Consider the following 17,889-nt stretch of genomic DNA (forward strand, 5'->3'; position numbering starts at 1 on the left):
TGTGAGTTAATTTCTACAAGGACTACAAACAGCAGATAAAGATACTTTACCTTTAAGGTACCGACGATGCCACCCACTAGCAAATATAAAGGAATGAGGGGCTGTATAGGGCAGTCCTCCAAAAATTTCATTCCTACATAGGGCAAACAGAAGAGGATTGAGAGAAATACATTCGAGAGCACAAAGCCCAGTTTTGAAAATGAGTGGAACACCTTCAAAAGCCAAAATGTTAATCATGCAAACCATATGCTTGTGGGATCTGCTCAGCCTCACCAGTCACCTGATCCTCAGGAAGCTCAGTGGATTGACACCGCAGAAATGGCTCTCACAGCGGAGTGGCGATAAATACTCCCGCAGACAGGGCAGGGACCAGGTGTCGCTGCACCTTTTTTCTGGGTATTAACTGGCTATGGGTTGCACTCTGCCTTTCTGAATAGCCAGTGTATGAGAACTCAAGTTTTCAAGGATTCAGGATTCAAAGGATCCCTTTAAATATACGGTTTTCTTGATATGCTTAAAATAAGGTTCAATTTATGAGTCACATTTCCAAAATGTGACTCTGCGTGAATGAGGTTCTCATCTACTCTGCTTCCAGGGGCCAGGTGGCAGGGAGGAGCCGCTCTTCCTCCCTGTGCAGCAAGCCCTCTGCCGTGTTAGTCACAGTCACCATATGATAACCATTGACCATGCCACTCGCTGGACCCCATGCTGGGAAACACGCGTGTACTCACATATCCTTAGCTACCAGATACAGAGTACTACCAAGCCAGCCTACCCAGTCTACCCTTTCTTAATGGTAGTTTTTCTCCCCAAAGCAATGCTCTGTCTACTTTTCTCAGGTCTTTGTTCCCTAGACCTATTAACCAATGATATGATGTGTCTATTTAACATATAAAGAAGAAATGCCCATTTCCCTCAGGGACCAGTCTGGCTCAAACAACCAAGCTCCAGATGAATTCTAACACACACCTTTGCTATGGGAGACACTGACTGCCCAGCATGTGCCCTTGTTGGGTAGCAAGGCAGTGTGACCAGTTCTGACCAGTGGGCTGTGGGACACCTTGGGGCCAAAGCATTTATTTTTTTTGAGACAGAGTCTTGCTCTGTTGCCCAGGCTGGAGTGCAGTAGCATGATTCAGTCACAACTCACTGCAGCCTCAACCTCCCAGGCTCAAGCGATTCTCCCACCTCAGCCTCCTGAGTATCTGGGATCACAGGGATGTGCCACTATGCACAGCTAATTCTTTTTTTCTTGTAGAGAAGAAGGACTCACTATGTTGCCCAGCTTGTTCTCAAACTCCTGGGCTCAAGTGATCCTCCTGCCTGGGCCTCCCAAAGCGTGGGATTACAGGCCTGAGCCACTGTGCCCAGCCCAGGCCAAAGCATTTAAAAACTGATACATGATTCGTTGTTTGCTTCCTCTGCTTTGACCACCTGGAAACCATGGGTGGAGATGGATTGTTCTCAAGATTGAAGCAGACTGGACTATTATGTCATCACATTGCCTGAGAAGTCCCCATGCCCCCTGAGCCATGATGGAATTTGCGTAAGCAAGAAATAAACTCTTACAGTGTTAAGCCACTGGGATTCCAGGGTTAATTTGTGGCTGTAGCACAGTTAAGTTACCCTGACTAACACATCTGTCAACAGAGTCCAAGAAAGGGAATTCTTACTGTAGAACCAAAGCCTCCTGTTTAAATGACATTTAGACTTTTAGCTTTGATTTGGAATTTTATTCCCTATAAATGCCTTGATACTTAAGCAGAGGGAGTAAACTGTTTTTCTATGACTACACCATATTCCATTGAAATGAACAAAATTTTCTAGGTATACAGAGAGCCATAAATTCAGGGCCCAAAACAGAGTTTAGTCAAATATACACGTTGATCCAATCATCAACCTATGGAGGCTTGTCTTTTAGTTATCTCTGATGTTTAGGTGAATTTGTTATTAAATGGAAATACTTTCCAAGTCTCAACACAGCCTTTTCACACAAAGACCTTTAAGTACTTGGTGCCAAATTTGTTGGACATGGACTGCCTTTCAATTCAAAAGCCAGCTGTGAAATGAACATTGAGTAATGGCTTAGATATCTGCTCATTCCCAATGAATAAAAACAGCTGCTGTTCACAGGAGAGTCAATCAGTGCACAGATGGCTTAAAACGATCCTAATAAATTTAATAAAAGCCATCTTTCCCCCTGTGTTCTCATGTACTTCTTAGGACCTACCTTAACTCTAGATTTTCTTTCTTGTCTGATCTGCAGTATCACGATTATTCTTTTTGGTTTTAGATCTCTCCCTAGTTCAGTTGATAACAACTACCAAATGTAGTGATTTTTAAAATATTTGTTATTGTGATAAAATATCTCAACAAAAATTGCCATTTTAACCATATTTAAGTGTACAATTCATCGGCATAATTACATGCATCATCTTGTGCAACCATCACCACTATCTATTTCCAAAATGTTTTCATCACCCCAAACACAAACTCTATAACCAATATTGCTCTAGAAGCAATAACACCTCCAAAACCCTCTTTCCGCAGTGGATGTGGTGATTTTAATATAATATCCATGGGAATTGGCTTGTGGGGTCTTGTCTCTTTTATGCAGCCTTATTGGTGGATGAATTGTTGCAGTTAAGTTCATTTGAAAGATAACTGGCTGGGCGCGGTGGCTCATGCCTGTCATCCCAGCGCTTTGGGAGGCCGAGGCGGGCAGATCACTTGAGGTCAGGAGTTCAAGACCAGCCTGGCCAACGTGGTGAAACCCTGTCTCTACTAAAAATATATAAATTAGCCAGGCATGGTGGTGGGCGCCTGTAATCCCAGCTACTAAGGAGGCTGAGGCACAAGAATCACTTGAGCCGGGTAGGCAGAGGGTGCGGTGAGCCGAGATCGCTCCACTGCACTCCGGCCTGGGCGACAGAGTGAGACCCTGTCTCAAAAGAAAGCAAAAAGAAAGGTAACTAACCACAGGGTCCAAAGGCTAGGGTTCTCTTACCTTACAGATTTTGCATAGAATGCCCTCTGGAGAGTACCCCCGACTTCATAAGCAGGGCATGCCTAACATCTTGTGAACTCTTCTTGGAAGAACAGAGCCATATAATAAGTGTTAATTTTTGAATTGCACTGTAATAATCACAGCACCAGGGCCTGCTGAAGTGATTGAATTGTTCACTCTTACACTAAATGGCCCCAGACTACTTGGCTGTTTCAGTTCTCTGCAAACCTTAAAATCTTATCTTCTTTTTTATTTCCTGTCAGGCTGTTAGCTTTCATGTCTTACAGATCTAAGGATACTGTTTTTGTTTCCATTTTTAGTATTGTGGCTTTAGCAGGGGTGGCAGGGTGAAACTTACATAACAAAAGAAACCATTCTAAAGTGAATAATTCAGTGGCATTTAGTGGATTCACAGTGTTGTGCAACTACCACCTCCATCTAGTTCGAAAACATTTTCATCACCTCAAAAGGAAGGCTCCTACCCATTAAGCAATTAGGGTACTGGGTGTTTCGTTGTTGCTGTTTTGCAACAACTCCTATGCTCTTTTACTTTCTGCTCCAATATGCTGTGAGCTTGGACCTAGAACACTGGGCCTGCTGAGCTGCTTCTTTTTTGTTTTTGTGTTTTTTTTTTTTTTTGGAGACAGGGTCTCAGTCCTGTTGCCCAGGCTGGAGGTATAGTGGCACGATCATCCCACCTCAGTCCCCCGAGTAGCTGGGACTACAGGCACACGCAACCACACCCAGCTAATTTTTAAGTCAAGACTTGCATTTTTTGGTAGAGACAAGGTCTCACTATGTTGCCCAGGCTAGTCTCAAACTCCTGGGCTCAAGCAATCGGCCCGCCTCAGCCCCACTAACTGCTGGGATTACAGGCGTGAGCCACCATGCCCAGCCATGCTGGGCTTCTAGGTAAATAGGGGTAGCTAGGTCCTGTACACAGGGCTCCCATTAGCAATGTTCAGGAGCATGAGATTAATTTCACTGACACGTGATAACAATTTTTAGCTACTTAAGGAGCTTCCCCCATCCTGCCCCTCCCCTGACCTTCGCTAGACCTCACACTTCTGGATTATGAGGTTGTTTAATATACGTGATTTATGGAAATATTTACTCATTCATTCAGCAAAAAAAAAAAAAAAAAAATGTATAGAGTGCCCATACATCACCTAACGCCAGGTGCATTTTTTGTATTGCTTGCAACCTGCTTCCACAAGGGAACATAGGAACTGGGAAGGGACTTTGGGAAACCTCTAGCCCAGTCACTTCCAAACTTGGGCTGGAGGGATCAGAATCATCTGGGGACAGATTTCTAAAAGAGAGTGTCTGTCCCCACCCAGATATACTGCACTGATATCTCCCAGGGCGGGGCCCAGGAATGTGTATTTTTTAAATCTTCACCAAGTCATTCTGAGATGGCACATAGGTGTCTGGGAATCATCGGGCTGGCCAGTTCTTCTTAAACACATATTTAATGTTTAAAGATTACATGCCTTGGGTCCATGCCCCAACCTGGCTGACCTGTGGCGTCCAGCAGCTCGGAAGGCAGCTTACCTATGAAGGTCATGGACAGCGGCAGAGCCAGGAAAGCACAGAGCACAACAACGAAGCAGGCTGCAAGGAGAAGAAGGGGCAGGCACTGGGTTAGAAACACACAGACCCCTGCATTTCCTCTTCACTGCAGTTTCTTAAGCATCCTGTGAAACCTGACTTTCTCTCCAGTGGCAAGTCAGCAGACAGGAGGAGAAGGTCGCAGCTCGCCTGGGGCTCCCACACAGTGGATGCAAGCCAAGACTTGCACTTCTCAGAGAGCTGAACATCTCTCGTGATCACTTTGCCGATGCCAAGGCCCAGATATCCTGCAGGACCTCTCCAAGTCTGACAGCTTATGGAAAAGGAGTTTATAAACTGCCACTGTGCCCGTGCCAGGATGCCAGAAGCTGCCGGCATCCACTGAGCCAGGCAGGATTCACCCTGTGCTTCCTGGGTGCCTGTACTCAGGGCAGATGGTTCTTCTCTTCCCTGGATAAAATTCACTGACAACTCACTTTATCACTGAAAGTATTTGCTTCACAAAATCTTCTTCCCTTTCCATTCACTTGGTTATATATTCCACAGCCCATGACATTAGATGGGCTCCTAAAACTTCTTGCTGACACACAGTATAATAGAGCTTTGAACTGGCTTGGGGTTTTTCTTTCTGTTAATGCCACCAATCCAACTTTTAGACATTGGGAAAGAACAGAGGAATGGGGGCTACACAGGCTTGGGTCCAAATCCTGGCCCTGTCACTCACTGGCCATGTGGCTTTGGGCAAATTCGTTGACATCCGGAAGCCGTTTTCCTCTTCTGTAAAAGGTGGTGACAGATGTATGCACAAGGACCTCAGGGTATGGCAACTTTTGTGATTAGGCAATTACTTCCCTGCTTTGCTTCTTGGTTTCCTCATCTGTTCTCCAGATCGGCAGATATATCTGCAGATATAGGTTTTGCTTGGCCAGCATTTTTTTTTGAAAGTGTGAATTTGAATGCCTCTTGGGTAGGCCTGCCCCCCAGTTCCCACTGTCAGAGTCTTGACAGCATCACACATCTGTGCTTTCTGCTGAGTCCTGTTGTCATGCTGAGAGCAGAGGATCTCTGAGTGAACCTCATGGTAGCTTCTGTAGCATCTACTCCTTCCTCTCTAGGTCATCACCTTAATTATTTTCGGGTACCCCCACCTCCCTACCTCCCCATTCTGCTGTGCCGTTTATGTGCTCTGGCAGAAGCTGATCCCACCCTGGCCATAGAAAAGGGCATGAAGTTTCACCCTCAATTAACCAGCAGAGCCCCACTTACCAGATACGTTATTAGTGGATGGGCTCATGACTTATATTGGGAGATTTACTGAGAGTCAGGAAAAAGCTTTCTCGCTCTGCTGACAGAACTTCCAGAAACAAGGTTTCTCCCTCCCTGGCCACTGGTGAGGAATTGAATTACTCTGGGGGTGGCTGGCAGCCTTCTTGCCATCATGAGGGGAAGCCAGCCTGCGAATGAGAACAACGCCCTGAGAGGCAAGAGAAGAGGTAAAAAGAAACTGGGTCCTCAGAGACATTCATCACCCATGGAATCACACCACCCTTGATGCTAAACTACTTCTGGACTTGCCATTTATAGGAGCCAATAAATCCCCTTTATTACTTTAGCCAGCTTGAGTTGGGCTTTCTGTATTTATACAGAGCCCACTGTACCTGGCTTAATCTGCAAGGTCCTTTGTGGTTTTGAATTGTCAAAGATCTAGGATTTATCTGGGAATCTGTCTTCTCTAGAGAAGAGCTCTAAGGCTGCAAGTGCCTCTGGCTGGGAGCCTCACGTGCACACCACCAAACGCCAGCTCTGATCTTGCTACCCACAGCGGGTAGGGTGCACAGGGCAGGGTGCTGCCCCTCTCTCAAAGAGACCCGAGAAGTTGCCCTCCATGCCCACCTTGACCTTCACCTCCAGGAAATGTTGATGGGGGCAGGCATGCAGAGTGATTTGCCCCAATTTCCACTCCTCCCCTCAGACCACCCCTGAGTTGTATATAATGCTATCACCAGAGCCAGCTTCAAAGGCGTGCAACTTAACGGCCCCAAGCATCTGGTTTGACGCTCTTCTGTTGCCATCTTGAAATTCTAAATAAATTTCTCTCGAAATCGTGTATTGTAAGTGAAGTTGGACAGGACAGTGAGGAATATGTGTGAGCAGAGGGAGCCTGTGAAATGCTCATGTCTGCTGCCCTTTACCGCCAATATTCACATTTACTCCGCAAGACTCAGGGCCAATATGAGGAAAGCGTGTTGTGTCTTCAACTGAGTAAGCAGGGGGCTGACAGTCCTGAAAAGATTTACTTCCATTTGAACCAGAACTTGCTTCAGATGCAGACAGAAGGCAATGATGTTCTAAGAAACAGGAACAACGAAGGAACTCCACCAACCCCTTTCTGACCCCTAAATTAGTATACCTTGTCCTCTCACAACTTCCTCACCTATCTGTGAGCAGAAGGTGGAGAATGTGGGTAGAATACACCCATATCAAGAAGCAAAATGAAGACTTGTTAGTTTTGTACAATGTTTCCAATGTTCCGATAAAAACAAAATGTGTATGAGAGCTATTAAACACAAGTTGTGTCATTTCAGTGACTCAACATATGAGTTAAATGCTCTTAGAGTTGCATTTAAAACTGACATTATGCAATATTAAGATGAACGGTAAAATATATACTAATAATTACACATTTTGATTTCCCCTACTTAAAAATGATATTAAACAGCAAATAAAAAGGCCAAAAGAGAGACTGCAGAAGAAAGGAAAAAGCTTTTTATATTTTAGTCCCTTGAACAGTGCTTCTTTCCTGCTTTTTGAACAAGGTGCTTTGCATTTTTGTTTTGCTCCGGGGCCCTGCTGGTCATGAGTGACACAGTGCTGCTGGCAGGTGTGGTGAATTAGAGAGAATTTCAGTTAATCTAGCCACATTTGTTTTAATTCTCAACTTAGAGTGGCGGTCAAGGAAGAAATTTCTTGCTGGCAAAGGATAGAAATTCAAGGGGTCGATGAATCCTATTCTGCATTTTTGACCTTGGAGCTTGTTACAAGGATGAAAAAAAGTGATCGGCATCCTGAAAAATCCTTCCCTGTGCTGCAAGCTTGAGGCAGATGGTGCCACCTGGCCACATATATAATCCAGGCAGTGAGTGACACAAAGAAATGGAGCAGTCCCCAAGGAGGCACCTGCCACCCAAGCTTCCTACTGAAGGGTGGCAGAATATGCCACCCCAAACTCTGCAGCTGTGGCATAAGGGTTATTTGGAGCTAAAGGCACTTAAAAAATAGCAGATGGAAGAAGGGTACTCTGACCCTCCCCTTTTCCTTCTTAAAAGTGGGAAACAAAAGCCCCACATAGAGGATGTCCTCCCTATACCAAAGGAAAGCACCATTCTTATCATCAAGGATGGGACATTGAGACCAAGAGAATTCTGTACAAACAGATCTTGTCAAAATCACTCTTATCTTCCCTTAGCCTCCCCACACAGTTTGGTTCCTTTTCTGCAATTACCTCTCTTTGTTCAGCCACGTACAAAAGCATTTGGGTTTTGCTATTTCTTTGGGTTTCCACTTCTTATGAAGGCTCTTGTGTCATGTAAAACTTGCACTAAATTAGTGTGCTTTTCTCCTGTTAATCTGTCTTATGTGAGTTTAATTCTCAGGCCCAGCTGAAAAGCCCTAAGAGTGGAGAGGTAAAATGTTACCTCCTCTTCACTACCTCCCAGCAGGGCTGAGAGAGATGGCCAGGGCCAGAACATTCTTAATGACTACCTGGAGGAGGCTGTAAAGACTCACCACCTGCAGCCATGCAACCAAGCCACCTGAGTCACAGCCCACTCCGCTCCTCATTACCTGCAGCATGGACTGCAGGACTCTTAACCTCTGAGGTTTCAATGTCCTCATTGCAAACATGGGCACGATTACAAGACTTTCCTAACAGACTTGTCAAAATCATCAAATGTCATAATCTGCATAATCTGTGTAGGGCACTAAACGCAGGGTCTGGCACATAATAAACACCGATAAATGCTGGCCATTATCATTACTATTATTATTTTCCATTCCTGATGGAAGGAGACCCAGGCTTCCCCTTTATTTCAGCCCCCACTTCGGAATCAAATGAAGAATCGAGAAAACAACAGGTGAGGTATACACTGTGGTTCTCATGGTGTCTGAGCAGAGATGAGACTGTTCTACACCTTAACTCCCAAGTGGATGCGGCCTTACTCCCTGGCCCTGTTCTCAGGCTGTGCCCTGGCTTCATCCAGTGAGTCCGCTTCTCTGGATCACCACTCTAGGTCTAAAGAGGCTCACTCTTGCTTGAGATCTAATGAGGCTCACTCTTGCTCGAGGTCTAATGAGGCTCACTCTTGCTCGAGGTCGAATGAGGCTCACTCTTGCTTAAAGTCTAATGAGGCTCACTCTTGCTCGAAGTCTAATGAGGCTCACTCTTGCTCGCTGCACCTCAGAGCCATGACTCTCAGGGTCTCAATGGCCGCTCTAGATCTCACAAACCAGGATCAGTACAAATGGCGCCTGGAAATCTGCATTTAAAAGCAACTTCCACCCTGGCATGGTTGCTCACACCTGTATTTCCGGCATTTTGGAAGGCTGAAGCAGGTGGATCTCTTGAGCCCAGAAGTTTGAAACCCACCTGGGCAACATGGCAAAACCCCGTCTCTACAAAAAACACAAAAATTAGCCAGGCGTGGTGGTGCACCTGTGGTCCCAGCTACTGGGGAGGCTGGCTGAGATGGAAGGATCGCTTGAACCCAGGAGTTCAAGTCTGTAGTGAACCATAATCCCGCCTCTGCACTCCAGCCTGGGCAACAGTGCAAGACCTCATCTAAATAAAATAAAATAAAAGCAACTCTCAGGTGATCGTAGCCTGTTTCTGTAAGCTGGCTAGAGAATCTTCAGGGGCTTCCTACAGCTGTCTGCTCAGCATGGTGTGAGGTGCTGGGGTTGGGCTAGGTTGTAGGATCCACTGGGATGGAAATCATCAGCAGTTACCAGCACGAGGCCTTCTTTACCACTTGGTCCTAATAAGGACACCCAAGCCACAGTCAGGAATTGGGGAGCCCCACTCTCGCCTGATCCCCCTGCCTCCTGGGGCATCTGGTTACCCACTCCTCAGTCTTTGGAGCTCTCTGGAACAGAGGCTGAGCTTCCTGGTGATGCCGCTGTTGCGATTGCAGCGGCTTGACAGCAGTGACCACCACTAGTTAATACTGTCCTGCCTTCTGGTCTATTGAGCACCAATTCCAATGCAACTCAGAGTGCCACATTCTGGCTTCTGATGCCATGAGAGTCTCCATCTAGAAAGTCAGTTTGAAAGAGCTGGGTGAAAATAAACTCAGCTTGAGGGTCCAAAGGAGAAAATAATTCAAAATTAGAGCAATAGTGGGAGGATATTAGAATCAAAACGTTGGAGTCAAGTCATTCTTTATGCTAAGAACACAGATAGGCTGATTCCTGACTTACTGAAGGTTGGGAAAAGACAGACTATTGGGAAGGGTGCCCTCCTCAGGGTGGCTTTTGGGTTGCTGGCTCTGGATCCTCACTCCCCTCTTGCAGTGCATTTCAGGGTGGGCTGCTCTCACGACTGCTGATTGCTGCTGCCCGTGATTGTCAGAGGGAGCAGCATGGTAGCAGGTGTTAAAGATACGCTGCCATCCGGTTATCAGTCAAAATAGGTAGCTGGGAGAATTCAATGCATTTTTAAATGGGTAATCTTGATAGGAAAAGTGGGTAGCTTTTGGTCTGTTCTCAAGGATCTCCGGAGTCTGTTTCCTATGAATAGCAAGTATTAATATATCCCCAGATCTTTTGCTTAGTTTAGTGCAGAAACTGAGACTGGGACCCAGCAGTTTTTCTCTGCAACACCATCCTTCGGGGCTCCACTGAGCTATCAAATACCCAGAAGGCAACTGGCAAAGAGTGCAGGAAGAGAAACTCAAACTAAACTCCTCTTTCCAAACTGCCCTTTCCACCTCCCTGTATCTGTAATGGTGCCCAAACCCCAGTCACCCAAACCACTTCTGCCCTCTCCTGGTATGTTCAGTCATTCTGCCTCTGCCTCGTTTCCACCCACCCCTCTTCTCCAGCCCTGCACAAGCACCCTGCATTGCCACAGCCACCCACTAATCCCCAGAGGTCACAGCCAATAGCAATTTGCATGAGGGGGTATTTTTATTAGCACTTAATCCCCTTTGAATATAGATGAACTTCTTTATAGATATTCAGCTATTCATTCTTGCATTCGACCAAGGTTTGGGTAGATGCAAAGTGAGCATGAGAAGCCTCGGCAATGCGGACTTCACCACCTCTTAAGGGAGATGAGATGTGCACCCAAGGGACAGTACAAATCAGTGTGTGGAAGGGACCAGCAGGGGCAGCGCACAATGCAGTGAGGAAGCCTGGAGGAGGAAAGAGTCCCCAGGAAATCAAGGAAGGCCTCAAGGAGGAGGTGATATTGGTACTGGGTGTTGATGGATGGGTAGGATTTTTGACGGGCTGAGTTGTGGGGAGATGGCTTTTCTGTCAAAGGAAAAAAGCCCAGAGGAAACAAAAGATTTGAGAGACAGAGACACTCAGAGTGGTTTGGGGGAGTGGCAAATCATGAAATGGAGCTGAGCGTCCATCATCCATCATAACAGAGAAAAGGAGATCAGATGGAAACTAGATAGTCAGAAGAGAGGGCATTTCTGTTTTGCATAAGGGTATCTGGATTTTATTAGGAAGATAAAGAGAGTTGTAGGGTTTGCAATTGGAAAGCAGCTATCAAATAATCATCAATAATATCATCAAATAATAATCAAAGCTGAACCTTTGGAGAAAATGAGGACTAAAGGGGGTGGCTCTCGGAGTGAAGAGACCAGCGAAGTGGCTGTTTCATAACTCAGCCTGGAGAGCAATTGTGAGGCTCCAGCAGCGCCTTGAGCACCCATTAGGTGTGGGAATGAAGGGAAGAAAGGAGTAAAGAATGACTGAAGTGCAGTGCTCGGGTGACAAGAATGGTGGAGGCACTGACGGAAATGTGAGGGACAGAAAGAGGAGGGGCTTTAGGGAAAGGATGTATTCGGTTCAGAATTCACTGCATTTAATGTGCCAGGGGAATGAACTGGAGTATGGGTTTCTAAAACCACCTCCACTGCCTGCTTTTGAGATTTTCAGTTGTTCATGTAACAGGACGAGTTAGTAAGAAATATTGGACCCTTCCACAATACTGATGTTGCCATCTCTTTCTCTGATCCCTGAAAAGAGAGGGCAACCTTGTGCTTCTTGAAGCCCACCAAGAGCAATTCTATGGGATTGTCCCAATAAAAAGGGATGCAGGGGAGTCCCCCAAAGAGGAGGAGCAATGAAGAGGGGGCTGCTGAGGGTGGAACCTTGGGTTGGTGGCCCCTTCCCTGCAGTGTCCAAAAGGAATTGCTACTAGAAGCACCTAGGGAGGCGGCACCAGGTCCCCAGGCTCGTAAAGACCCCGACATCTCAAGCTTGACACCGGTGCTGACCTGATAGCAAGGACAGAGCGTGCTGCTGTGCAGTTTGTGCAGAGAAGAGAGGGCCTGTGTGAGGCTACAGGGCTGAGTGAAGGTTGGAAATCCTCTCGCTTGGAAGAGGGGCGCACTTTTCTTCCAATAAAAGCACCGTCTACTACTAAACTGTGTCCTGGAAGCTACCACTGCCGGGGGCCACCTTTTAAACATTGCACAAAGGGTGTGTAGAGGAAATAATGGCTTACCACAGAGCAGGAGCACACCCTGCCCCAGACCCCCAAAAGAGGAAAACGTGATTCCTCCTCTCCAACTCCCATACTTGAATTCTCGTGTGACCCACAAAGCCCAGGGTTGATGTTCCTGGTACTCTGGCAAGTAGGAGCTCAGAGTCAAATTAATTTTATTAAAGAGGAAGAAGTTTTGAAGTTTTAAAAGTACATTAAAAATAAATTAATGTGCTATTTCTCCTGGCCAGAATTGTAGAATAAAATCTACCACTCTCTGTTTAGTATGTTGAGTTGTGTAAATTTCTCTCACAGCTGAGGGGCTGCAAACACCACCTAGAGTCACGGTTCCTTCACCCAGGCCTGAGCAGAAGGTCTTTCTCCTGGTGTCCCCCTTGAACATGGACTTTGCTGGGCCCTTCTCTGCTGCTGTCTCCAAGTGGAGTTGAAGGGGACTTCCCAGGACCCCCTGACAGGTGCAACAGCCTGGGTTCACTGCACTTGTCCGTTTCATTGAGTTATCCTATGAGGGCTAGAGCCCTGCACACGCTGCACATGTATTCATCAAGATTTCACTGCTGCCCAGGGATGAAAGCGATCCTCCAGGGTGGCAGCAGGCTGCAGGGAAGCAAATGTTCTGCAGCAGAGAGCTTGACAGAGAGAGTGCCAGATGGGGAGGCTGGGAGCCAGGGCTGCACAGTGGCCCAGGAGAGCTCCAGAAAGCTCCCCCAAGTGGCTTGCTGGGATCTGAGAGCACGGAGACCACCCTACTCCCTGGATGAACGCCCAGATAAACAAGCTACTCCTCTGAGGCCGCCACCACTTAGCAGCTCCACATGTGGATAGGGACAGCACCAACCAATCTAAGGGGGATATCTGAAGATTGTTCTTAAAACATAAAATAAAAATAAAACTTTTATTTTCTTTCTTTTTTTTTTTTTGAGACGGAGTCTCACTCTGTCACCAGGCTAGAGTGTGCAGTGGTGCAATCTCGGCTCACTGCAACCTCCACCTACCGGGTTCAAGCGATTCTCCTGCCCCAGCCTCCCGAGTAGCTGGGAATACAGTCGTGCACCACCACACCCAGCTAATTTTTTTTGTATTTTTGCTAGAGACGGGGTTTCACCATGTTGCAGGATGGTCTCGATCTCTTGACGTCGTGATCTGCTCGCCTCGGTCTCCCAAAGTGCTGGGATTACAGGCGTGAGCCACTGCACCCGGCCAAAACTTTTATTTTCTAATTACATAAATATGTAGCTTTATAGGAAATGTGGAAAATGTAGAAAACCAGAAAGAAGTAAATTTAGAAGTCATTTGAAAGGAAAACACTACAGTATATGCATTTGCATCTATGTACTATTTTATCAGGTCTGGGATCAGGCCAAGGAGGCCAATTTTTCCCAGCCTAAATTCTAAAAGACATATTAATTATGAAAATTCTCAAACATTCAAACAAATACAAAGAGTAATAGAGCAAACATTCAGATACTTGCCACTCAGGTTTCCCTCTGCATGCTTTTTAAGTTTTTAAATTTTTTAGTTGGAAATAATCCCAGTGTGCATTTCCTGGGGATATTCTCTTATTAATATAGTACCTTAGTACAGTCGCAGCTTCTTAAATTTACATTGATACAATATTTTAATCTGCCATCCATATTCCAATGTTGATGACCTAATAAAGCCTTTGGGTCCAGTCTAGGCTGAAGTATTGCATTTGTTGTCATGTCTCCTCTGCCTGCTATGGTTTGAATGTGTCCCCCAAAGTTCATGTGTTGGAAACTCAATCCCCAATGCAAACGTGTTGGGAAGTGGAGCTTAAATGAGAGGTGATCAGGCCCTGGGAGCAGAGTAAATGAGTTCATGTCATCACTGGAGTGGGTTCATTATAAAAGGGGGAGTTCAGCCCTTTTTCTCTCCCCCACGTGCTGCCTTCCTCCATGGGATGACACAAGAAGGCCCTCCCCAGCTGCCGGCCTCTCATTCTTGGACTTCACAGCTTCCAGAATGATAAGCCAACAAGTTTCTGTTTGTTATAAACTACCTAGTCTGTGGTATTCTGTTATAGCAGCACAAAGTGGATTAAGAGACCTCCCTCAAATCTAGAACATTCTCATCAGCCCTTTTTGTTTTGTTTTCTAGGATGTTGACATTTTTGAAGAATACAGTCCTCTCTGCTGTTTTTTAGTAGAACATTCTTCACCTTGTATTTGACAGATGTTCCCTTGTGTTTGGACAAAGGCTGTGCATTCTTGGCTGGATTACTGCATAGGTGACGGCCACCTGTCCCTCACTGGTAATGTTCACTTTAAACCCCAAAGTGTGGCCCACTTTCTCCACTGTATGATTACTATTTTATTCCTCCCTTGCAACCAAGTACTGCTTGTCATCAAAATTTCCTCTTAGATTTAGTGTCTATTGATGATTCTTGCCTGATCCAACCTTTATCTGAGGGGGCAGGTGGGAGGAAGTAGAAGTCTAGGCAAAGAAACACATGTTGGAAGGCCCAGGGGGAAAACAGAAGCTGGTGTTCCTAGGAAACCTAAAATGTTTTTGTCTGGCTGGATTTTCCAGAGTGAGAAGGGAAGAAGAAAGAGTGATTCAAGAGGTAAACGGGGACTCAATCACAAAGGGTTTCACAAGAGAGCAAACGCTTCTGTTTTATTCTGCAGGAATGGGGAGTCACTGTGCAGTGAAGGACCTCCCCAGAGGAGGTGCTGAGGGGATGGGCAAGAGGCAGCAAGAACACTTAGGAGGCCTTGCCATTGTGCTGGCTGAAGACGGAGTTATTCATACAACAAGGGCAGAAATCTCAACAATCAAGGAGGCCATCATTAGGCCAAGGTTGGCCTAGACCTTGACCTGCAGATTTACAGTGCAGCCAGGAAACATCCCTTTTTCTGGGAAACCCTGAGCATGATACTTCCTCTCTTGCCAACCTGGTGTTGCCATCAGCACTTCTGTTGCATAAACAGGTAGGATGTGTGTTGGGGGAGGTGGTGGTAACTAATTTCCCGAAGATGTAGAGCAACAATATAGCTGATGGTGTCTCCTTTCCCTGCCGGCAGTAAACCTATGAGTTTTCATCCTGCCAGAGCATCAGAGGCCCTGGGCAGAGACTCCAGCACCACTGTCCCACTCTGGCCCTCACAGCAGTAGGTGTGCTCCAGGGATGAAAGGAGGGTGGCCCTTAGAGCTGTCCCTGGGAGTAAAATGTCAGGGCTGTGCGTTAGGAGAATGAGATGGGCACTGGGCCCATCAGCGAATGGAGAAGGTCAGTTGTATCTGGGAGGTGGCTCTTCACTCATTTACCTGCTTAGTCAGCCAGTGCCTATTTATTGAGCTCCTACTGTGTGTCAGGCACTGCTGGAGGTGCTGGCATGCAGCAGTGCAGGAAACGTCATGGGAGGAGAAGTGGGAGGTGGACAGTGTGTGCTAGGACATGGTAAGTACAGGTAAGGAAAGGTGCCCAGGCACCCATCTGTCAGCCCCTTGTTCTGCTGACCCTCCACCTTAGTCCGCCACTACCCACTGACTGCAGCTTCCTGATATTAGTGCCTGGAGATGAGTTGCTTAAGGCTTCCCACAATGTTCCCTTTATCCACATTTCATCTGTAAAAGTTAGACCATACATCTCACCATGATGTAAAAGCTTTCATCCCAGGGACCCCCAAGGCCTGGGATCTGATTTTGGGATATTCCAAACACAAGACAGACTGGGTCTTCTGTAATATGGTCCAGCCCCTCTGGACAGAAAGGACCCCAGCAGGTGATAGTGGGGGAATATCCAATTTAGTAAGGAGACAGGTTGAGGTAGGAGTAAGGGAAAGCTACCCAGGTCCAAGGTGTCACATTGCCCTGCCGTGTTGCCCAGCACGGCTGCCATCATACACTGATTGTAGCAGTGACTCCGTTCACATGCATATTTTTCAAACACATATTACATGGAAAACACATACAGTGAACTATGGAAAACTAAAGATGAATTGGTAAGGAATGGAAGGAGAAAGCAGCCAACCGAGGGCCGGACACTGTCTTCCCCAGCTCTACCACCCTGGGGCCACCCCATACCAAGCACAGCCCACTCATATGATCCACTCCAGCTTTAGCTCATCGGGTGATCCCAGAGGTCTCAATCCTACAAAACCAGGGCATTTCTCAGAGTTGTGACTCACCATTGCTGGCGATTTTAGAAATGCACTGATGACACGTTTTCTCCAGACCTCCTGGCATTGTTCTTGCTCGCTGACAAAGTTCTGAGGATCAAAAATAATTCATTAGAAAGGATGGTGGAAGGATTTACTCAGCACCAATAACCAACCCTCTCTGTGCATGTCAGTGGTGGCCTGCAGGGTGGTCTCAGTCAGCCCGGGTGGCCTGGGTGCCAGTGTCAGGTGTGGCCTTGTTAGTGGTTAGCGGGGCTGAGAAAAAGACCCCCTATTCCACAAATGAGAGAACCAAGCTCAGAGAGGTTAAGAGGCTTGCCCAGTGATACCAGCCAGGAAGACACAGGCCTGGAGGGGGAGATGGTAACAGCTCTCACTTGCTGAGCAATGGCTGCAGCCAGGCGTTGTGTTAACTCTTTAAATAGGTCATCTCATATTTAATCCCACAACAATCCTATCTGGGAAGTGTTACTGACTCTGTTTTACAGATGGCGCCTTAGAGACCCTGAGAGCTTAAGATTCACCCTAAGGCCAGAGCTGGCAACTGGCAGAACCCAAACTTGATCCAGGTATGGCTCCAGGTACAGAGCAAGGGCGCCCTCACTTCCTGACGCAGCTGCTGCACTCCCCAGGGTCCAAGCGGAAGAGGAACCATGGACTTGACCAGAGCAGCCTGGGTGGAGACCCGAGCGGCCTGGAGCACCACCCCGGCTCCCCTGTGGACCTGCTGTGGTCTGAGCAAGTTGGTTGACACTGTGAGAAAGGGCTTCCCTTCCTTGGAAGAAACAGCCATATACATTTTAAATCCACAAAAAAACTCCAGCTCATCAAGACGGCAAATTTTCCTGCCCGGTGAAATGAGGTAGCCCCGTAAAGACACTAGGAGAGGAAGGGAGTCACTTTGTTCCTGAGGCTGGGTGTGCGTAGTTCCACCACTTCCCACCACGTCATTGCTTGGGAGTAAGGCCTCCATGGGGGCTGGCTGATCCAGGCGGGATCTGGGGCAGGCATCCTTACTTCATACAAAAGTCTCCCCAGGAACCTGTCCAGAGTAGCCGCGGCTCCATTTAAAAGCACGATTTAACAAGGTCCTTGTTCCTCATACTGCAGGGGTTTGCAAACCAAGGGACCACAGCATTTTAGCAGCACTACCTGCAGGCCCTCCTGGGTGAACTAGGGCTTAGGGCAGGGGGAACAGGCCGTGATGGGGAAGATTTGTGGTCTGAGGACAGAGATGGTCATGATGACAGAAGGAGAGCTTGCTTTGACCAGAGCTGTGGCTCATAGCAGGCAAGTCACTCCACCGCCAGCGTCAGCATGGGCCTGCAGGCAGGAGCCATGCAGCCCGCAGCTTCTCTCTGCAGCTGATCCACTGCTAGCACACAAGCACGGTGGTTGGGCTGAGACTCGGGGTTCTTATTTCCCATCAC

The 17,889-nt window shown here is 47.0% G+C and overlaps 1 protein-coding gene across 7 annotated transcripts in view; it reads right to left on the bottom strand.

Annotated features, from left to right (window-relative positions):
• The window catches only part of TMEM272 (transmembrane protein 272), a 121,020-nt gene that overhangs the window by 8,658 nt on the left and 94,473 nt on the right, over positions 1–17,889 (bottom strand). For 5 of the 7 annotated variants that reach the window (XM_047430278.1, XM_047430280.1, XM_047430279.1 and 2 more), the window contains 3 exons: positions 16,469–16,549; positions 4,562–4,621; positions 51–133 (listed from right to left, as the gene is read on the bottom strand). In XM_047430278.1, coding sequence (XP_047286234.1) covers positions 51–133; positions 4,562–4,621; positions 16,469–16,549 — 224 coding nt within the window. The remainder of the gene's footprint in view (positions 1–50; positions 134–4,561; positions 4,622–16,468; positions 16,550–17,889) is intronic. The other 2 variants (NM_001351005.2, NM_001351006.2) reach the window with 2 other exon arrangements.

The sequence above is a fragment of the Homo sapiens genome, chromosome 13, assembly GCF_000001405.40.
Source record: "Homo sapiens chromosome 13, GRCh38.p14 Primary Assembly".
Classification (NCBI taxonomy): domain Eukaryota; kingdom Metazoa; phylum Chordata; class Mammalia; order Primates; family Hominidae; genus Homo; species Homo sapiens.